Source organism: Homo sapiens, chromosome 2 (assembly GCF_000001405.40).
Source record: "Homo sapiens chromosome 2, GRCh38.p14 Primary Assembly".
NCBI classification, from domain to species: domain Eukaryota; kingdom Metazoa; phylum Chordata; class Mammalia; order Primates; family Hominidae; genus Homo; species Homo sapiens.
The window spans coordinates 172813267-172836853 of NC_000002.12; the positions used below are offsets into that span (position 1 = coordinate 172813267).

The 23587-nt window shown below is 38.8% G+C and overlaps 1 protein-coding gene across 25 annotated transcripts in view; it reads left to right on the forward strand.

Annotated features, from left to right (window-relative positions):
- RAPGEF4 (Rap guanine nucleotide exchange factor 4) overlaps nucleotides 1-23587 on the forward strand; it is a 317576-nt gene that overhangs the window by 77949 nt on the left and 216040 nt on the right. For 21 of the 25 annotated variants that reach the window (NR_164739.1, NR_164740.1, NR_164741.1 and 18 more), the window contains one exon: nucleotides 1013-1159. Coding sequence is in view for 20 of the 25 variants with exons in the window: in NM_001375864.1 (NP_001362793.1) it covers nucleotides 1013-1159 (147 nt within the window). In the remaining 5 variants the exon portion in view is untranslated. Of the gene's footprint in view, nucleotides 1-1012; nucleotides 1160-8558; nucleotides 8711-23587 lie in introns of those variants that run through there. The other 4 variants (NM_001100397.2, XM_017003197.2, XM_047443029.1 and 1 more) reach the window with 1 other exon arrangement.

Consider the following 23587-nt stretch of genomic DNA (forward strand, 5'->3'; position numbering starts at 1 on the left):
TTAGTTTATAATGCCTTACAAAATTAATGTCCAGGTGATTTTGAGTGGCTATTTGCATTATTTGAAACTAGTTAGGATTAAATCCAAACATTATCACCAGTGTTGCATGCAGAGAGGAAATTACTTTTTTTGGTACACCTTAAGAAACTTTTAAATCATCGATTCATGACATTTTATAAGCTAGTCACACCGTACTTCATCGGATGCTGTTTTTACTCTGTTGTGGCTGCAGGAGGCAGCATGATACAAAAATCTTGTAAACTTATAGTCAGATTTGGTTAGAATCTGGCCACACTGCTTATCAACTGTGTGAACTGGGGCTGTGTAGATCCACCACTCTGACCCTCAGTTTCCTCATCTTGTCAAGACAGACAGTGCCAGTTTCTTATTTAAATATTGTAACTGCACTCTCTAACTTAAAAAAAAAAAACTGAGCTCAGCTTCGATAGATTTCTCCTCTTTTCTGAAAACAGATAGTAGTTGTATAAAAAGGTAAGATTCCTGCTGGCAGCTTTATTCATAATATCCTCAAAGTAGAAACAACCCAAATGTCCACCAGCAGGAGGATGATAAGCAAATTGAAGCACACCCATGTTATGGGAAACTACTCATGAATAAAAGGAAGAATCTTTGGATCCATGCAACAACATGGATGAATCTTACAGACATTATGTTGAGCAAAAAAGAAGCTAGGCACAAACCGGAGAATATCGTCTGACTTCTTTTACATGAAGTTCTAAAACAGGCAAAATTCTTTCATGACGGAAATCAGAACAAGTTATCTGAGTGTCTTGCCTGGAAAGGGGCACGAGGGGACTTTTGGGGTTCATAGAAATGTTCTGTCTTGATCTGGTTGGTAATTACTCCGGTATATATATTTGTCAAGACTTGTTGAACTATGCAATTAAATTGGGTGTTTTGCCTTGTACAAATTATACTGCAGTTAAAGAAAAGAAAACACCTACCCATTAGATGTTTAATTTTCTAATGACTAGTTTTTTGGGATCCTCAGGATGCTGTGACCATCTGTACCCTGGGAATTGGGACGGCCTTTGGAGAGTCCATTCTGGACAACACACCCCGCCATGCAACCATCGTTACCAGGGAGAGCAGTGAACTGCTCCGCATCGAGCAGAAGGACTTCAAGGCACTATGGGAGGTGAGCCCTAAGGCTTCTTTGTCAATTAATGCAGTTTCAGAAAAGAAAGGGAGCTGCCACATGGATAATGGCATTACAGTCAAGCCTTAATGTGTTCTGTTCTGAGCTGGTAGATGGAATTTAATTTTCAAAACTTGTTTTTGAAATGAGTGAGTGAAAAAGCCATTTTGACACAAGACATCCTTTTTTTTGTTTAATTTAGTGCTTGCTCAATTTTCTGTAGTTTGACATACCTTATAATTATTTCTTGAATGACCATAGAGTGTTTTATGTATTTTCTCCCTTCTTTTCCACAGATGTATTCTTAACCAGGGAACAAAATACTTTGACATTTTCTTTTGCATTTTAAAAATCATCATTGACATGTTCCCTGGGAAAGTGGAATGAATGGGGTTAACATCTGCTTCATTTAAGTGCTTTTAAAAATGATGCGCCCTATAATAAGATATGAGAAATGGAGGTACATAAAGATGTCTGGTTACTTGCCAACTTCAAAATGCATAGGTGGCACAGCAGTGAATGGATGCAACTGGTCCTAGTGGCTTTTGCATTTATCAATGCTTACCAGAGCCCCTTAAAGTATTGCACTCATTTACAACAAGTATGAGGAATAAATCATCTTACATGCAGTCATGGCAAATAGAGCACTTATAAAGGCCCAGCTAAGCCTTGCATCTTTTACACTCGTTCTTTTCAGTTCTTTAAGCCTCTGATTTTAACCTGCTCCTTGTCTTTGTCCTTAGCTCAGTATGTCCAAGTGTTAAACCATCAGGCTGCAGGCTTCGCCACTGGTCCCAGTGTGGCTAAGATTTTAAACTTGATCTAAAAAGAATTTTGTGTAATCAAATAGTTTCCTCCAGAGCCAAACAAATGGCAGATGCATTAAGGGAGCCAACCTGCAGGTGAATGAGTGATGCTTTGCCTTAAAAGTCATGCAAAGCCTTGGAAGGCCTTGGTGGTGAAACCTGTTACTTTTATTCTTGGCAGTAGTGAATAAATTGTGAGGTTACTTGTTTGAAATATTTCTCTTAGAAAGTATTAAAGAGCTCCAACCGTTCTGTAAAGTTCAGAGACAAAAGCTAGTTTTAGGAAGGAAAATTGAAAGTAGGTTTGCATGAGGTGTATGTGGAGAGATTTTCTGTCAATTAAAAGGGACCAAGCTTGAGGCAAATAAGCCACTTTTTGGATCTTTCATTTTAAAAGGTAAACTGAAAAGTCTTTTTCAAAAGGGGAGTTTGGAAAACTGGTTTTCAGAACAAAAATGATTTCTAACTGTGATGTGTGTCATTATAACCACTTTTGTCTCTGATGACTTACTCAAATTGCTGAGAGAGGATGGTTTGTGGAAATATTTTAAAGATTTATTTTAATTAGGAGCCCTTAGTGCTGAGAAGGAAGTTTCTAAGTGGTTGCTACCTGTGAACATTAAAACAAACTTATTATTTAAAAAAATTTCAAATAGACAGAAAAATCAAAAAGTATAGTACAATGAACACCCATTCACCCCCACTGAACTCAGAAATTGTTAATGTAGAGCCATACTTGCTTCAGCTTTGTTTGTTTTTTTTGGTGAACTACTTTATCGTAAATGATAGACATATAACATATCACCCTAAATATTCAGCATATATCTCAAAAAACTTAGAATATCCTGTTACATACCCTAATGCCATTATCTCACCTATAAAACAATAATATCCTAATATTATCTAATACCCAGTCTATATTTCAAATGTCCTTAATTGTCTCATAAATACCTTTTATAGCTTTGTTTCAAACCAGGCTCCAATAACGAGCCATGTCTTACATTTGATTGTTATATCTAAGTCTCTCTCTCTCTCTCTCCTCTCTCCCTCTCTCCCCCTTCTCTCTCTTACTTTCCCCCTGCCCCATCATGGCATTGACTTGTTAAAAAGGCCAGGTCAATTTCTCCCAAATTCAAGATTTGTCTGATTGTTTTTTTCATGGTATCTTTTTTTGCACTTCTATCCCAAGGTTTCCTATAAATGGAAATTAGGCTAAAGGTTTGATTAGATCAAGCCAAACATTTTTGGCAAGAAAATGTGAAAAGTGATGCTGAGGATATTGCTCTGTTGATGCTACGTTTGATCCCTTGGTTAGGTTGTATCAGAGTACCTTTTAGGACTGTTTTCCACAGTTCTTTCCCTTAGAGGAAAAATATTTAATAGGGACATTGATATGGAGGGCTGTCCTTGCTATCTAAAACCTTGTCACATGTTTTGCAGTTCAGTGGGTCCAACTCTTCCCCTGTAACCTCAGAGCATGATTTGTGATCTCCCTTGCCAGTGGCATAAGTGTACTGGGGACGACATTCAGAGAGCCATTTGGAATTGACAGGAGTGGATAGTTTTTAGTCTGACCTCTTTTACAGGGTGGGGACTGAAATCTCATAGTGAGTAAGAGATAGTCAGATGTTTCATTATATTTGCCTGTTCATGCAACTAAGTGTAGAGTGTGAATTAGATGCTCAATCAATGTTTTAATTGTCTAAACTGAAAATGCAATAAACCCCATTATCTAGCAATCTGTTAATCAGGACTTCATTAATGGGCACACTTGTGCACATGCAGTACATGATAATCCTAAAAAGTTACACAATTCTAAAGTACCTTCTGAATAAAAAAGATTGAATTCTGTTTATTGTCTATTCATTTATTCATAATATACAGAGTATCTCCTATGTGTTAGGTATATGTATATGTATGTATGTGGATATAGTCAGATGTTCGTATGTTTATACATATATACAAATATATATGCTTCTGCTCTCAGGCTAGGGGCTTCTATTCCGCTCAGAGGAGACAGAAAATAAAAATCATAGAATCTCAGAGCATAATATATCATTAAATAACTTTAGGTGCATGATTTGAATGTTGATGATCTATACATGGCATATATAGCGCTAATCTGCTTGCAAAATATTTGATAACCAGAACGCCTATTCCTTGATATGTCAGATAATAGGTTTAGTAAAATTAATCCATCCTTGTTCTGGTAAAATCCATCTTGTGCTGATATCTGTTAGTAAAATTTAAACCCAAGCTCATACTGTCAGCTGAAGCCTAAGTCAGCTAGATCACCCAAATATCAAAAGGGAAGAACTATACGGGGAACAATTATGTATTCAGGATTCAGGCCAACTCCTGAATCATCACTGAACAGTAAGAGTGCAGAAAGAAGGCATCAGATGGTGGGAATGTAAACTAGTGCAACCACTATGGAAAACAGTGTGGAGATTCCTTAATGAACAAAAATAGAACTACCATTTGATCCAGCAATGCCAACTCTGGGTATCTACCCAGATGAAAATAAGTCATTATACAAAAAAGATACTTGCACATGCATGTTTATAGCAGCACAATTCATGATTGCAAAAATATGGAACCAACTCAAATGCCCATCATTCAATGAGTGGATAAAGAAATTGTGATATATATATATATATATATATCACAATTATATATATATATAATATACATATTACAATTATATATATAATGTATATTATATGAATTATATATATATATATACACACACACCATGGAATACTACTCAGCCATAAAAAGGAACAAAATCATGGCATTCACGGCAATCTGGGTGGAATTGGAGACCATTATCCTAAGTGAAGTAACTCAGGAATAGAAAACCAAACATCATATGTTCTCACTCATACGTGCGAGCTAAGCTATGAGGATGCAAAGGCGTAAGAATGACACAATGGACTTTGGGGACTTGGGGGAAAGGGGAGAGAGGGGTGAAGGATAAAAGACTACCATTGGGTACAGAGTACACTACTCAGGTGATGGATGCACGAAAATCTCAGAAGTCACCACTAAAAAACTTATTCATGTAACCAAATGCCACCCATTCCCCAAAAACCTATTGGAATTTTAAAAAAGAGAAAAAACACTAAAATATATATCATGCAAATATAAAAAGAAAGCAGCAGCAAGGTCAACTGGATAAGGCCTCCACCATCAGGGAGCTAAGGTGCTCAGAGTTCAATGTTCGGTGACAGGTTCCAAATAGTAAAAATTAGAGACCCTGAATCAGAGACCCTGGGTCTAAATTTGCATGTTCATCTCATTTGAGTGTTTACTTTTGAGGAATGTCCTGGTGGGCTCATTTCATGGCAGGCGCTCTTATGTTGGGCTTTGTCTCCTTGTAGGTACTCTTACTGTCACTTACAGGAGCTGCAGGCTAGAACACTCCCATCAGGATTCTGTGTTGCTTCTAAGGGAAAATTATGGTCCCTAATCACTAACAGGTAGCACAGTCAAAAAGTAGTCCTTTAATAGGCTGAGCAAATACTCTATATCTTACACTTGGGACTGTAATGGTAGCACAAAGCTAGGGAATTCCTTTTCTTTTCCAGGTCAACAGCAAGTTTTCTAGGCTTCCTCAGGTATGCCCTCAGAGAACCACACGTAAGGTTTTGAAATCCTATTTAATTCTATCCCCAATACCTCTTGCTTTATATTGTCTATTCTGCTGTAAGTCATATAGGCAACACTCAGAGTATTTTTTAAAAATCATCATCATGAATGTGATTAGAAGCATTTCCTCAATAGTCTCTATAAATATATCAAATAAAATAAATATTCCCTAAGATATAACTGAGGTGGCAGCTTGGCACTTTTTTTTCTTTTGTACCCTACATCTTTCCTAATGAAAATGACCTGGTTTCCTTCTCCTTTTCCCTATTTCAATTTCCAATTTTGGTCAGATCTGAGGGTACTGGGTTGCTCTATCTTAAAGTCAGGTCTTATTTTCTTAGTTTAAATGAATTATGTTAAGTTTGTTCAGAGTTGGTAAATAATGCCTCTCTCCATTTACACCCCTTTAATATTAGAACTTAATAAAAAATATTAACCAGGGTATAAAACATCTCATTTTCCAGTAACATTTCAGGAGGGAGGCAGAGATGGGGAGAGATAAATATTGGAGACAGTATGTTTCTGAATTACATACAGAAGAAAATGAATTTAAAAGTCTTAGAATACCATTTTTAGTTCTTTTTTTTTTTTTTTTTTTTTTGAGACGGAGTCTCGCTCTGTCGCCCAGGCTGGAGTGCAGTGGCGCGATCTCGGCTCACTGCAAGCTCCGCCTCCCGGGTTCACGCCATTCTCCTGCCTCAGCCTCCCAAGTAGCTGGGACTACAGGCGCCCGCCACTACGCCCGGCTAATTTTTTGTATTTTTAGTAGAGACGGGGTTTCACCGTTTTAGCCAGGATGGTCTCGATCTCCTGACCTCGTGATCCGCCCGCCTCGGCCTCCCAAAGTGCTGGGATTACAGGCGTGAACCACCGCGCCCGGCCCATTTTTAGTTCTTGAGACAATTATAATTTACAATTTAAACTCTTTGACACTAGTGGCATTTTCTACCCTCAGTAAGGAAGTTAAATGGCAAAGCAGTTAACTGTAAGTTTGGGAGTTTAAAGCAGTTATTATATTAATAGTTGATCTAAGATTATGGGTATTTTATGATTGATAGTAGCTCTTGGAATAAATAAAAACTGATCTATTATCCAAGTCCATGAATTTCTGCTCAGCACAGATAGTATAAGAGGGTTTCCAATGGCTAGAACAAAACAGTGAAGGTTTTGTTGGGTTTTCTTCTTGACTTTCTGTCTGATGTTGTGTTTGTATGAGGATGATTTCAGGTTTGTGGCATGTTTTGACATCTTTACATGGAATATTTCAAATACATGAAATTGAATGAGGTGATGAGTCCACTGTATTCAGGAAAGTAGATTAGAGAGGTGCTCTTGGTTAAATCCATGAAAGATGCTTCTGAGAGGCCCTTGAACTAGTGGTTACCACCTCTTTACCTGTAGTTCAATTGCATGAACACCATTCTGGAAAAATTTCCCTGTTGCCATGAGCCATGTTTGAGCATATTCAAAATAATAACACATATTTATGAATATGTTCTTAAAAAATTAAAGACAATAATAAAATTACAGAGCCATTAAAAATAAAAGCAATGTTTTCAATTTGTAGTCTGACCTGTGTCACTATAAAAGTGGTTTCTTAGCTGTGATTGTTATCTGGGAGCCTCTTGACATGCTATTGTGATTTTATTCCAACCAGGGCAAAACGTGTCATGGAGAGCCGTTGCTTGGATATAATGATTGGCACATTAGATTCACTGCTCAAATGTGTCTGTGGCCTCAGTAAACATTGTTAACTGACTGAAAATGTATTTCATGCTTTATGAGATACAAAACTGAGTGGTAAAAATAAGAAAGTGCACGTTTCTGTCTTAAGAAAAGAAAGTAATTAGTAAATAGAGATATTAATCAGAATAATGAATGCTGTTGAAGAAATATGTTTATGACTGTCTCTATTCCCTAATTTTCAGAATGTTTATTTTTCTATAAGATTCTACCAGATATGTTGGCGGTTGTGAAACTGGAAAGCTTTTTAGTTACTTCCATTTACTGACTTTTTTTTAGAGTAAATAGGGGAAAATCCCTTTTCCATTAAAATCTTTCAAGCCACAGTGAGAATAAGGATTGTTTGAAGCAACAGCAGCTTAGTCTTTGCTGAGGTGCTTTAAAAACACTGTTAGAATAATATACCTTCCAGAGGCATCTGATCTTGCTCTAATAGGCTTGATGTTTCTATCTGTCTGTAGCTGTCAGAAAAATGAAAGCCAAATACTTAAAAATTAATATCTCAGAACACAGATATCCCAGAAGTTCTCAGGTAAATTGTATGGCTTTATCCACCATACTAACAATTTCAGGTTGTTTCACTTTTGCATTAATGGTAGGCTTTTCAGGTTTATATTTAATGGGCTTGGGTATTGAGTTAGGAATGCCCGGCCCACCTGCAGACAAGGCAGCCCCTTGCCTGCCTGATAATGCACGGGGACCGAGACCCATACCCTCATCAGGAGCAACCAGAGCCTCCAAGCCAAGGGGCCTGCATTCTCCCAAGTCAGGAGCCCGAGCTTACTTTTGGCAACCTTGGAGCTTGTACTGTAGGGTTACTTCTCAGGCCAGAAATTTGCATCAAAGGACTAAGAAAAATATATCCAAAAATAAACATGAAAGCCAAGACTTCATGCCAGGAACTCCAGCCACACACATCCTGTTGGCTGGTTCTCTTGTCTCTCTCCTCACAGTTCTGATTCTTTTAAACCAAGCGGAAGCCTGCTTCGATGACTTGGACTTATGTCTGCACCAGGGTCTCATTCCTGTGTCTTCAAGCTTTTCCATGGAGTGGCAAAATGATTCAAATCCAGAAAGGAAGGGAGTGAAGTTATTAGGAGCTAACTAAAGTTAAAAAAAAAAAAAAAAAAAAAAAAGGAAGTGTTTTCTTATTGCCTTAGACTGCCTGAGCTTTCCTGGAGAACCATCAGCACCAGTTTCCTTTCTGTGGACTGAGAGCCACTCAGTAGTAGACACGAACAGGGAATGAACGGCAATGAAGGTACATTTTGCTGATCAAATAAAGGATAGATGCTCACTGGATGTCTGAGAACTTTGAGAGACCGAAAAAGAAGGACGTATGCTCTACAAGGTCAGAATGAATCTTTTTATTTTTTAGTGAAGGGTGGGAGAGTGGGGAAATACTACATGTTACTGTTTGCATTTTGGAATTATGCTCAAAAACATCTCTGGCTTTTCTAATTATGTTCCACCAGACCCAAATATGTACCATGGCAGGGACATAATTTGATTTCATCTTTGTTTGTGGTGTGTGTGGGGCCAGGGGGTGAGTGGTGGCTCATCTTTCTGCTAGTGAAGCATGTTTATTTAGCCTGATGATCTTAAATATGTTTCTAGAAGATAAATAAAAGTAGTTGTTCATAACTAGGCAGAGTAACATTTATCACAGTGAAATTACATACATGTATTTTTCTAGTGACATATTTGAATGTCACATATTAAAAATGAATTTTGTTCAAGGAAACAGATTGTGGGTGATGGTATTTCACCCTCCAGGCCCCTGGAAGGTATTTTGCCTGTAGCTCTCAGACTCAATGAAGTCCTTGCTGTTTATAGGCATTCTGTTACATTATTGATAACTAAGAGTTCTACCTGCTCCCCAAGCAGTGATTTCAGTGTTTCTCAGAAGATGATCAGGGGTCTGAGCAGATCAAGGCTTGGCTGGCAAATGCCAGGAATGCCCAGATGCTGTATGGTGGGCCTGCCGGTAGGGTACTATAACCAGTAGTTGCTTTCTCTGAGCTGGCGCTACTTTGGGTGTTCATTTCGGGAGTGTAGAGTGAATACTCAGGTCTTTGAGGAGCTGCTGTTAAACTAGTTTCCGAAATGCTTCCCTTGGCCGTGCACTAGCCAGGACTCTGTTGACACCTCACCCCCACTCTCTCCCCTGCACTGTTCTCTTACACTGGGTCTCCTCACCCACTCAGCTAAGCTACTGAGCAGCCTGCCCTTCTCAATAGCTGCTCACCTCAACAGAATTGATGCCACGTTAAACATTTCATCTCTAAGAAGCTTCTGTCACATTCAGCAAACATACTTGTTTCCCACCAGGTGGAGGTGCAAAATGCCCTCTGTCTGCTTTTCTGTGGTTTACAATCTAGTGGAAAAGACAATCATAGACACAAATATGAGACAAACTGAAAAAATACTCTAAGAAAGATCCAGCGTGCTAAAGGACAGGGGCAGAGCAAGAAGAGATCCGTTTCCACCAAGGGCCTCGTTTCATCCAAGGACAAAGAGATCTGCTTCTGAATTCTTATGTGGGTAGCAAGGCTGTTTTTCAGCATCCCTAAAGGATTGGGGACAGTTAACCAAATGATAGCATTTGAGGCAGCCTTGTTCCGAGGGACTGAGTCCACAGAAAAGGGGCTGGGCTTCTTCACTCTGTGGTTGTGTTGTGTGGCACTCTGGGTTCTTCTCCTTTGCTGGGCCCCTGGGCAGGCATGGTGAGAACTCAGCCTGTCATGTGTTGTGATTCCAAATGTCTGGGTTTGTTTTTTGTTGTTCAGCCATCATCTGGAGAAATCCGCTCTGGGGTTTAACGGGTTCCCCCAGGCAAAGGCAGTTCTAGTTGGGAAAGCTTTAAGAACTTGAGACTTTCAGAAGGAACTCGTGGTGAGGACTGGGGGATACTGTTAAGCGCTTTATGTGTAGAAAGCCCTGTGGTCATGGGACTTTCCTGCTCTCGTGGGGCCAAATTCCACTCCTGAGTCGTCTCTGGGCTGCTGTGAGAGGTTAGGGCACAGTTACTGGGGCAGAGGGTCTGACACACAGGATGAAGCAGCAGAAATCCTGTCACTAAGTTCGCTTCTCCAAATTCCTGCAGTCTTGCCCCTGTTTGATCTCACTGACCTCAATGTTTTGAGCTGTCTAGCCCAAACCAATAAATGCAAGACAAATCTTCCAAAGGTTGTTGATGTGGTTGAATGGTCTGGCCTGAGATTCTGGTCTATTCTTGGTTTAACCCAACTTTGCTGGATGACATTTTGCAAAGCTCTCCAGCTTCCTAGGCCACTTATTGTAAAATAGAGATACCTTTACTTAAATCCTGCCTTGCTGACAGGAGTGGTCACAGTTAATGTTGATTGATTCTTATGTGCCTTATGAGTTAAAAAATCTAGTGTCCCCCTCCCTTTTTGGTTTGCAAATTAAAGAAGGGAGAGCCACAAATTCTGTGAATGGAAAGAATAAAATATAGGGCAGTAGTTCATATTGTATCAAAATATATTATTTGGAAGGGAAGAAGAACTTTTTGGTAACTTTCATCATTTGTAGTTGTAGTTCTTAAAACTGGTTTCACGTTAGAAGTATCTGGGAAGCTTTTTAAAAGATTTCCATGCCGGGACTTTTGATAGACTGATGAAGCCAAAATCTCTAGAAGATAGAGCTTCATCAGTAGCTTCTGAAAGCTCCTCAGATGAGTCTCTGGACAGCCAGGGCTGAGAACCCCTTCAGCAGTGGGTTTTGGTAATTCACCATTCCCCTTTGTGCTTACTTCTGCATACACCTGGCTGGTGTCCTTGCCCTGTGCTGAGATGCTATGATTGAATAATGTTTGTTCCTTACAAGTCTGTGTTGAATTTCCTAGTGTAGTTTGTCCTTCTCTTCTATAGACATTCTACTTCCAAGTTAGAGTTTCTAGCAGATTTATGTAATAATGGCAGTCAGTACTTTAGAGTCAGAATCTGTGGGGTTTGTTCAAGGCTGTATGATTTAGAGGTTGCCTATGTGGAATGGTTATTGGAAGAGTGAGAATAAGGTGCAAGATCATCCCCAAATTCCACCATCCCACAAATGCACCTTCTCTTAACAGTCTGAGCAATGGTGTCTTTCACAATTTGTAGCTCCTGGGAAATTTCACTGTATGCCTATGAGAGAATGCGAGTAAAGAAGACAGGTAATAATTTTACTGTTACTGTGAATGAAGTTCTGAATTCTTGGATCCCCTAGGAATCGTGGGAGGCTCTCAACTATCCCCAGACTATACTGTAAGAATTACTTACCTACAATAAATTCCCAGGAAAAGAATCACTAGTTTGAAGAATGTGAAAACTTATGACTCTTGATAAATATGATCACATTTATTTTCAGTAGCTTTTATTCTGCCACCAACAGTATTTGAGCATGCCTATTGCTTCTGGCCTTGGCCATCGTGACCATTATATATACAGATGCTCCTCGACTTATGATGGGGATGCACCTAGATAAACCCATTGTAAGTTGAAAATACCATGTCAGTAATGCATTTAATACACCTAAGCTACTGAACACCATAGCTTAGCCTATCCCACCTTAAATGTGCTCAGAACACTTACATTAGCCTACAGTTGGCCAAATCATCTAACACAAAGCCTATTTTATAATAAAGTGTTGAATATCTCATATAATTCATTGAATACTGTACTAAAAGTGAAAACCAGAATGGTTGTATGGCTACTTGAAGTATAGTTTCTACTGAATGCTTATTGCTTTTGCACCATTGTAAATTTGAACAATTCTAAGTTGACCCATCATAAGTTAGTGACTGGCTCTATGTGTGTCCAATATAACAGGCATTGCTATTGCAATTGTGTTTCTGTGATTACTGGGATGCTTGAGGTTTTATTATCTCTTTTTTTTACTGATTATAAATACCCAATGTAACATATCCTCTTTTGGGACATGTTATTCATATGAGTTAAATACATTGGCATTTATTTACCAATTTATGTGAATGCTTTATATGATTGAGACATTAACCCTCTTAGAATTTCTGCAAATATTTAATCTTGATCTGTTTACTTTTCATGTTTCATAATATTTAAAGTACATACCTTTTAAATTCATTAAATCCACCATAAACCTGGCTATATTCATGATTAAAAAAATTAAAATTAGTTTTATAAAGATATTATCTTACCTTCATTTATAGTGGATTTGGAAAATAACATGATGTAAGTAATAATGTGTTTTACCCAATGGTGTTGGCTGCATGAATTGATTGAAGTTTTAAAAATTTTTTGTCGCTTCTCTCATTTGCTTCAAAAATTTATTAAATATTCTTACAAATCCATATCTTGCCTCTAATTGTTTCCTATAGCCTCTGTGTAAACCTTATTTTATGATCTGTAACAAAATTTTGTGAAGATTTCTTTTCTGGATATTTGCACCATGATCTATGGTCATCCCTTCCACTCCTCTAGCCGTTGGGTGTCTGTGAAGATCCCAGCGATTTGACTGTGGAAGGCTCTGGTCCCTTGCTTTCTTTTGCCTCCATGCCATGCCCTCCCACAAACATGCTTTAAGCTTTGGTCTGAGTGAAACCATCCAGTAGAATTGTGATCTTTTCTGAGGTTAGAGAAGCGAGTTCTCTTTTTTTGTGTGCATCCATATCTGCCTTCTCTTTTCCACTGTCCAATACTGTGTCTACCTCTTTAATAGTTGTGGAGAAAGTACTGAAACTCTTACCAATAAGTTTTAATGAAACAGTTTTTCATTTTTAGGCCTTTGCTATTTGTTATGGGTTTTAGTTTATCTGTTTGGAGGGTGTTTTTTGCCTATGCTTAGCTTTGTTTAAAGTTTATAGAATTGCCAAATGCAAATATTCTAAAAAAGGAAAAAAGCTCTATAATAACTTTCACTATATACAATTCCTATTAAAAGCACATAGAACTTAAAAATGGGATAAGATAGTAAAATGATCAGATATTGTATTTAGTAGAGATACACCTGTTCCCAGGGACATACACCACTTTGTGAACAACACCTTGAAAGGCATTCACTTATTTAAAAAGTTATAAAGCTGGGCTCGGTGACTCATGCCTGTAATCCCAGCACTTTGGGAGGGTGATGCGAGCAGATTTCTTGAGCCTAGGAGTTTGAGATCAGCCTGGACAACATGGTGAAACCCAGTCTCTACAAGAAACACACACAAAAAATGAGCCCAGTGTGGTAGCATGTGCCTGTAGCCATGGGAGGCTGAGGTGGGAGGATCACGTAAGCCCTGGGAGCTTGAGGCTGCAGTGAGCCATGATCATGCCACTGCACTCCAGCCTGGGTGACAGAGCAAGACCCTTTCTCAAAAAAAAAAAGAAAAGTATGAAGTTTTAAAATAGTGTTTTAAATGTTAGTGTTTTAGTTCTCTTAAAACTGTGCTGCTAGTCACACTCTCTCCATCCACATTTTCTTTCCTTCCTCACCAAAAAGTTTCATCATACATAGCAAATTGTACCTTATTAATAAAGTGATCATTACTAAATGAAAATTAATAAATTAAAAGCCTTCGGTGAATTCCTGATAATAACAGTTGCAAGCACATGTATAATACTCTAAACAGCTGAGTCCCGGCTCTGTTAATCCATTTTTAGAGACATTAATATATTTTAGCACAGTTGGGAATCCATCTCCCCTGAATTCCCTTTCTTGTTTTCTGCTTGTTACTCTATATTTCCTTCTCCCTTATCCAAGTCCCTTCTCCAGACCTCACCTAGGTCTGAAACATCTGACTTTACCCTTCAGTATTTCAGGTTCGCTTTCTCTCTGCCTCTCCTTGTCCTAGTTGGCCTCCTGTTATAATCAGTCATATAACCTCTTCCTTTACATTAACCTCTTCCTTTTCAATTCCATCCCACCATTCTCAGTGACCTCCCTTCTCTGTCCTCAAGCCTCAGCAGCATAAGTGAGGCAGTACAGAGCTTAAAGACCATGGACTGGAATTGACCAGGACATAGTGACAGTCCTGGCCTTGCTTCTTGCCAGTTCTGTGTCCTCAGGCAAGGTACATAATATCCCTAAATCTCTTCCCTCATTTGTCAAATGGGGGTCAAAATAACCGTACCATAAATGGTTGCTGAGAGGAAGAAATGATATAATGTAATCAACCCCCTAGCTCTAAGAACAAACCCAGTAGATGTGGGTGGTGATGATGATTGGATGCATAGACAGAGCAGGGGTTCAAATCCCTCACTCCAGGTGCTCAGACATCTAACTCAGCTCTCGCTGCTGCCCAAGGATTAAGGTTCAAACTAGCTGCCCTGGCATGCTCAGCTTTCTAAATCTGCCCTTACATCCTTTTCTAGTTGTAGTGCCTCTATTAATTGATGCACACTTTTTTTTTTAATTAACCTCAGTCATATCTGCAAGCATTAGTCAAGCATTCACTAAATGCCAGTTACGATGCTAGGCACTGGGGTTGCAGAAATGAACAACTTGTGGCCGTCAAGGATCTTGCAACTTAATGGAGATAAATATAAGAAAATAAATATTAAAGTGAGATAAAAGATACAACAGGGGTGCATACAGGAGCTAGAGGTGGAAGGAATAGAGAAAGTAATTGCCAAGGAGAGTGAAAAGGGTTTCCAGACCAAGTCCCTCACTCCATGGGCGTCGCATTCGTAAGGCCGACAGAAATGTGACAGACAGGAAGATGCCACCAGACCCAGGCAAAGTATACAAGTCTTTCTGATGTGACATATCTTCACACAGAGGAGGGGTCATAACAGCCCCTCAGTGTGAGGGACAATCTTCTCTCATCCTCAGGCTCTCCCTGTGGAAGGAGAAGCCCTTTGGAGCCTCCTGGCCTTTCTTGAGGACAGAACAGGGTTTTGACATCCTTCAGCTCCTCCTTGACCCATCTCACAGCTCCTAGCTGTGTGCTTGCTTGCTCTCTTGGTGCAGAAACACATAAGACACCCAGACATGTTAACCAAGAGAACTGAAGGTCAAACTCTTGGTGAAAGTCTTGCTAGGGGTAGCAGACTCCAACTTCAGGCCCACTAACTACTGCTCCTGCCTGGGTCTTCCTGGTCTCTTTGCTGAAGGGGCCCTTTGCCTACAGTCACCTTCCTTCTCTACCTACCCCAAGACCCAGTTCAAATGCTGTCTCCTCCCATGTCTTCAAGACAACGCCTCCCAGTTCAGGCAAATCACATCAGGAGGGAATCATGGCAGCCCGTTCACACATTTGTTACCTCTCAGCAGTTTATTTTTAAAATCAGATCTTTCTGTGAAGGAAAGGCTGCAAGGAGGCTGAGTTTCCTCCTGAGGAGATGACGATCCAGATGATCAAAGAGAAAGTGACTCTAGGAAAGACAGGTTGGTGTTGAACCTGAGATCAGCTCAGGGAACAGGGATCAGGAGCACAACATCTCCAATTGCTGATTTAGGGAAAGTGGAGGCCAGAGTGCTGCGGCCCCTCCAAGAGACCTGGGCTACGAAGGCCTGGGGCTGAGAGGCCCTGGAGCAAGAGGCCGTATGTTGCTTCAAAACTGATCCAGTGGGAACTAGACACACTCAGGAGATCCATTTAGTTTCTCCTGGACTAGAGGCCTGCAGGTCTTTCTCAGTCAGTGCCTCCCACTTTCAGCAGGAGTTCTGCTGATACTGGCGTGGCAAGAGCTCACCTTGGCTGTCAGGCCGGGGTTCTTGAGTAGCAGAAAGCCTAAACACTCCATATCACTCTTTTTCATGTGTGTGTTACCCTGGCACTTGGAGAAGTCTTCTCTGACCTCATGCAGAAGGAAGGTGAGCCCCTGAGCTCATCCATGTGAGGCATCCCCGGTATGAACTGGCTGAGGGCCAGATCTGATTCGAAAACATCGTGGTCACTTGGATTTTACATTTGCAAGGCGGGTCTCTGTATGTGAATAATACGTAAGTAATGATAACAGATGAATTTTAGTGACCACCAACTAAGTGCCAGAAACTATTCTTATCTTTTTATGTAGATTGACTCTTTAGTGGTAAATTATTATCAGCTTAGTCTGAAGAAGATAATTTAAGTATCAAGAATTCAGTGATGGGAGCTTTTGGAATGAAAAGAGCTCTAAGTTTGTTTAGGAAAAATGTAGGATTAGGTCGAATGTGAGCCTTTTGCCTTTTAGTAATATAATAACTCATTTATATATATATATTATATATAATATAATAACTCATTTAGTCCTCTGGCAGGTAGGTCTGCGTTTGGAGGGTCAGCAAAGAGGGATGATTCACAACAGGTGCTTTTTACCTGGGATTCTTGAGCCCTGAGGAGTTCAAGGACCAGCTTTGACATTTTTATATGCGTGTGCATTTTTATATTCCATATATATTCCATATATAATACATATATTAATGGATGCACACATATAAATTATGATTAACATATTATCAGCTTTCATTCTAATTGGATAGGGGTCTGTTATCTACCAAAAGATTAAGAACCATTTTCTGTGGAATTAAAAGAATATAGACCAGATTATGTAGCTTATTTCTTCTTTATGTGGGAGAACATTTATTCCCAGTGTAACATATCTTTGTAGAATTTGTGATGGTGAGAGTGGAAATGGAAAAGTACTTGTCATCAAGCTTTAAGGCTTTGACTCTTTTTGCAGTGAAGAAGAAATTATTAGGGAAAAATGCTAAGTTCCAGAGATCAAAACAGAAATACTTTGCCGAAAGAGTATTTCAAAGCCCATTTCAAAATAAATATTTCTAATTTGTTGATTCATTGCCCTTTTAAATAGCTGACATCATTTGGACATTTTGTACCTAGTTCCAAACTGATTGAGCTACCGCAGGAGTTTTTCACAGATGTGTGGTTTTGTATCCTCAGTTCCATATCTCCCCAAAACTGTCCACATTTAAAAATGCCTGTAAAGCTAACTGGACAACTTCAGATGATGATACTTTCAAAAAGTAGTCATAACACAACCCATCACGCAAAACAAGAATCCTGTTTGTTTGTTTATTTATTCATTTGAGACAGAGTCTCTCTCTGTCACCCAGGCTGTAGTGCAGTGGTGCAATCACGGCTCGCTGTAGTCTTGACCTCCTGGGCTCTAAAGATCCTCCCACCTTAGCCTCCTGTGTAGCCAGGGCTATAGGCACGTGCCACCACACCTGGTTAATTTGTTGTTGTTATTATTTTTATTTTAAAGAAATTATTTAATTTATTGAAACTAGGTAATACATACATGTGGTACAAAATTCCAAAAGTACAACAGGGTATATATTGAAAAGTATGCTTCTCACCCTCCCCTGCCCCAACCACCAGATCTCTTCACCAGAAGCAACCACTGTTATGGGTTTCTCTGTAGAATATTTTATGAAGAATATTCTCTTTAATAGGTTGCTGGGCAAGACTTCCAAAATGTACATTTGACTCCTCTTCTCAACCTCCTGAAAAAGAAAAATCAATTTTTAAAATTACTGAAACTGTCAAGGCATTTTGAGTCAAAATTTTCACACAAATTGACTCTAACATACCTACCAGAGTTTTCATTTACTTGTTCCATTTATTTGATTATTTCACTAAACTCCAACACCTTGAACCCCTATTAGCACCGTCTGATGTTTTAAATCTGAGAATATTTTCACAAAATGTGACTGTTTCAGATAGAAAACTTTTTTTTTTTTTTTTTTTGAGACAGAGTTTTGCTCTTGTTGCCCAATCTGGAGTGCAGTGGCGCAATCTTGGCTCACTGCAACCTTTGCCTCCCGGGTTCAAGCAATTCTCCCGCCTCAGCCTCCTGAGTAGCTGGGATTACAGGTGCCTGCCACCATGCCCGGCTAATTTTTGTATGTTTAGTAGAGATGGAGTTTCACCATGTTGGCCAGGTTGGTCTCGAACCCCTGATCTCAGGTGATCCACCCACCTCAGCTGCCCAAAGTGTTGGAATTACAGGCGTGAGCCACCGTGCCTGGCCCAGATAGAAAACTTTAAGTATGTAAGAATCATTGCAGTATAATCATATTGAATTTTTAGTTATTAAGAACTAATACATTTGTTGGAAATTTGAAGTAATGCATATGGTTAATAATATTAAAAGCAAAAGAGGTTACCTCCTTCAATTTTAATAGAGATGTTAGTCTCTATTAAGACTATGGGATATCAAATTGGTACCATGCTAGTAAATGCCACAAGAGAAATTCTTTTTCTACTAATTTTCGAAGACGTTATCCCTGTAAATTACCTCTACTGATCTACATTTCCTGAGTTGATATGTGTGCACTCATCAAGGCAAGCATCCCTTGTGGGGTAGATGACCTTGCATCCATGTCCTTTGAGAGAATAAATATTTATATTGACAGTGCAGCTGCCATATATTGAGTTCGTAAAATTGGGTTTGGGTGTTTTAATCTGGCATATTATTCTTGCTTAATTTCATTGTGCTGACTATGGTTACAGAGCTATAAATCAGGGACAGTGTTTACCCACAGAAGGAAAGGAGAGCAGGAATAATAGTGTGAAATATTGCCTTTGTTTATTAAAAGTGTTTCTTCATTTGGGCACCTGTTGTCTTTTGGTTGCCGGTTCCCTCTGGATCTTACCAGTTTTTGAATTTTTTTTAGAAATTAATAAACAGATCTATGATCGTCTGAGGTAAGAGGTAGCATAAAGCTCATAAAGTAAAGGAGTGAGTGGGGCAGGTAAAAAGAAACCTATTTTTAATATACAAAAATAGGGCATATGTATACAAAGTTCAAACAGTACAGACAAGGCTAACTACATAATTTGTGGGGCCCAGTGCGAAATAAAAATATGGGATCTCTTGTTCTCCTCAGAGGAAAAAATATTAACTTTTTCTGTGTTCTCTATCTCAACTCCTCATTTTGTTCTTTGCCATTTAATGTTCTAAGTAAAGAAAAACCCACATTTTAAATTATTAGCATAAATTTGTTTATCTGTGGTGCAATACCAGTTTTAAATGCAAATATAAGACCATTTAACTTACATGCAGAATGACCCAAACTACATAATTTGAACTTCCTAGCTCGGACATGTGTATATATTTCATTCTTACTAGGGCAGTGGAAACTTTGCACAAAACTGATTCAACTGTTTTCATTTTGCTTCTTGATGCATGCACATTCTAACCAACACTGACTATCTTCAGCTTACTCACAGTAAGGAAGGACTAAAAGGAAAAAGAAGTATAGGTTGCCCTATCTTTCCTTTACTTTAATGTCATTATTTTCAGACTAATGGTTGGCTAATAGAATTGGCTCTTGGTATCCATGGGTTACACATCCATGGATTCAACTAACCCCAGATTTCAAAAAAATATGCCAGTTGGGCGCGGTGGCTCACGCCTGTGATCCCAGCCAAGGTGGGCGGATCGCCTGAGGTCAGGAGTTCAAGACTAGCCTGGCCAACATGGCGAAACGCTGTCTTTACTAAAAACACAAAAATTAGCTGGGAGTGGTAACACACGCCTGTAATCCCAGCTACTCAGGAGGCTGAGGCAGGAAAATCACTTGAACCTGAGAGGTGGAGGTTGCAATGAGCCGAGATCACGCCATTGCACTCCAGCCTGGGCGACAGAGCGAGACTCCGTCTCAGAAAAAAAAAAAAAATCCAAAAAAGGTATGGCACTGAACATGTACAGAGGTTTGGGTTTTTTTTTTTTTTTTTGTCATTATTCCCTAAACAATATGATATGGTAACTATTTACATAGTATCTGTTTGGGGGAAACTAAGGGGAAGAACGCATTTTATGGATGTTATACAAAACTTAAAATTTGATAAATATTTTCTAGTTACACTCTAGAAAGTCTGAAGCAATTTTCACTCTCCACAACAGTGTAGGAGTATACTTGTTTTTTCAGTTCTTTAACCTGAGTAATTTCAAACTTTGAAAATTTTTATTACTTCGCTTTGTATTTCCCTAATCACGCATCTTTTAAATATTTCTTGGCAGTTGTACTGTTTTTGGTCTGTGAATGGCTGGTTCACATCTTTTGTTCAGTACTCTATTGGGTTGTATCTACAGTTTATGAGATTATAAGAACACTTTGTAAATTAAAGAAACGTGCCCCTTTTGCCATACGCATTAAAATATCTTTTCCAGGGTTTTGTTCCAGATACATTTTGTGACTAGGCGCTTAGGACTGAAGAAGCATTTCCTTTATGAGTTTTTTCCTCAAGACATTTCATTCATTAATTTTTTTCCCTGTAATTTCTTCCTGTGAACTATGCCCCAGTTACACATCCCTAAGGACATACAGTATCACTATTGAAGCAAAACTTTTAAAAAATCATTTTATTGTCTACTGCTTCTCCTGGAAATTATTTTAATTTATCTGTTTGATGTTTTTATCCTTTTTCTACTGGGGAGATGCTACTTCAGGAAGCTAATTCCAAATTAGTTAGTTCTTGGATCTGTTGGCTCCAAGACGCAATTCCCAGCACTTATTCATCCTTATCTATTTGGGGGAAACTCAGAGGAAGAAGGCATTTTGAAATTCTATCACGTGCTGTTTTTCTTGGCTGGATCAATGGCTTAGCCATTGGCTGCATGGTCTCTCTTTCTCTTTACACACCAGATACTTTCAATTGGAGTTTCTAGTAGAGTTGAAGCTAAAGAACACTGAATGCAAAAACAAAGTAATTCCACTTTTGTGCCTCAATCTTATCATCCCAGTGCTCAATGTATTGGCCTTCAGTGGTTCTAGTAAAATGGGATATAATCATGTGTGGAAAATAGCAGAGGCAGCTTCAAAAAACTCAGGGAAGAGAGATTGAAAGGAGTGTCCAAGATGGGGTACATATTATAAAGGCAGAGGAAGAGAACTACTCTTCATAAAACTTGATTTGGAGATAATGCTACAATTGTGGTGACTGGTGCTAGTAAACAGGAAGATAAAGCTACTTTTCTGCATGCTCTGAAACCTCTCTCAACAAGAAATAATCCCATTGTAAATAAATTTGTTTATTTGTTTATAAAATCCCAAGCAACTGCTTTTTTCTTCTTCTTCTTCTTCTAATTGGAACATTTGGGATTTCAGGTTTTCAGATTAGGGGTAAACATTCTGCAAATATTCCAAAATCTGAAAAAATCAGAAATCTGAACCAAACAAATGACTTTTAACCACTTTGAAAAATGAGAACCTCTACAAAAGATTGGGTTTCAATAAAGGGAAATCTCTTTTCTACACACATTCTTTCTCCTTTAAACATCGAAATAGTCTTGAAAGAATTTTTTTATTAAATTCTGTTCTCTTTCTTTGATTTTTTTCTTAGGTGAAATATTACATTTTGTTTTCCTGTGGCATAATGGCAATGTCATCCTTATCAGCTTATGCTCCTATTCCGTACTTCAGTTGACTGGCGCCCTCTGAGGCTTCTGAGCTATGTAGGAGTTTTTGCCCCCCACTAGCTGACACCAGTACGTTACAGAGTTGCTCTAAGTTGCCAGCCGTCCCTTCTCACTGAGATCAAACTGCTCTCTTTCCTCTGCTCCTGGTGCCTTTTCTCTGCTAAAGGTTGGGAAATGATATGCGTCTAAGCAAGAGTAAATAGACCGTGAAGAAGTGAGTTGTGAGTGCTCATAGTGGTGTCACCTAGCAGCTTTGATATGTGAAACAGATGCCACATTCATTTTGGTGTCTTAGAGGACAGATATGCAGTTGCTAATTGTGTTCAGATCAATTAAAGGATGTGTATAAGTGGCTATTGGATTACTGGTGTGTTGTTAGTGATTTAAATCTTTATAAAACATTATTTCTAAACTGTTGACCAAGCTGCAAACATATCCAACAATATGCATGCTCATTAATAAATAGAAGAGACAGTTTCTACAGTGGAAAGCACATGGGCATGGTATCAAAATGAGGTTTTACTGCTTTTTGGCAGTGTGATACTGGACCAGAAGTTTGTACCTCAGTTTTCTCACCTGTAAAGTGAGATAATAAAATATAGCTTGTGTGGTGGTGGCATGCCTAGCACATGAATAAACACTGAGTGAAAGAATTTCATTAAATGATAACAATTTTAGAAATATATAACCTGATATTAAATATGTTTTATGAATATAAATCATTAGAATACGTTCTTGATACTTATGATAATAAAATTATTTATCCTTATTGATACATACCTTAAATATATGATTATGACTTGCTAAAAAATATACAATTTTCAAATAACAACAATCTCTTAACCAGTATACATTTCCAATTCAGAAATCAAATTCTCAGTGGCAAGGGAAGATTGAGATCCAGAAAGAACTAAGACTAGCGAGCATTCCATTCCTCTAAGGCTTCTAAATTAGAATGTGGGTCTAGGGCTGGAAAGAGGGTGAGATTGAGTATCATTCTTCCAATCTCTTTCTGGCTTTTTGTTCCTGACTTTGAATGAGGGTGATAGTTGTAATTACTCCAGACTTTCTGAATAGAAGTGAAAAGTGAGGTAAATCTAACTTGTTGAAATGGAAATATACCTTCCACTCCATAAAAGATGTCACATCTTGGTATAATCTCAGGCTTATTTTTTTAGATGCAAATTAGTGAAAAAACAATAGCTAACAATTTTGGCAGCCAAAATCTTCATGGTAGCTTCCTTTGAATGCCAAAAATCTCTCATGTATGGACACATATGCCTGCATAAATACATGCAAAACACACCCTCTTCTGCCTCCACATGTCTATGGCAATTTCCAGGAGAAATGCCAGAAGAAGCAAATGCCTCAAAGACTCTGTGCTTTGAGGTTAAAGGTGTGATGCCTTTGGCACCACCAGAACTCAACTTCGTTGTAGCTCTGTGGTGTGTGACGTCTCAGTTGTGATATCCTAGAGCAACCTCATAGCCCTGATCTCCCATTCTGTCCATGTGATTAAACACGCTCTGTTTGGGTGTTGCCTGGTAGAATAATAACACTGCTTAGGTAAGAAGGGTATTGTCCTGAGGTGTGGCGTCCTTTTGACTTCCTCCCCCAAATGGAGCACTTCCTGCTTTCCAGCTGAATGATGAGTCATGAGAAGAGACTTGAGGATGTGACACAGGAGACCAGTCAGGCCATAATTATTTGTAAGGCATGTGTAACAAATCTGCTTTCAGCACACATCCCATCCAGGTAAAGCCAGGAAATACAACGAGGGCTGGAAATAGCTCGTGGCTAGCATCCTCAACACTAGTCATTTAGTGCTTTCAACAACCCAAAGTGCCACATCAAAGTACTCATGTTTACCAGAATTCTCATTGCAGATCTGA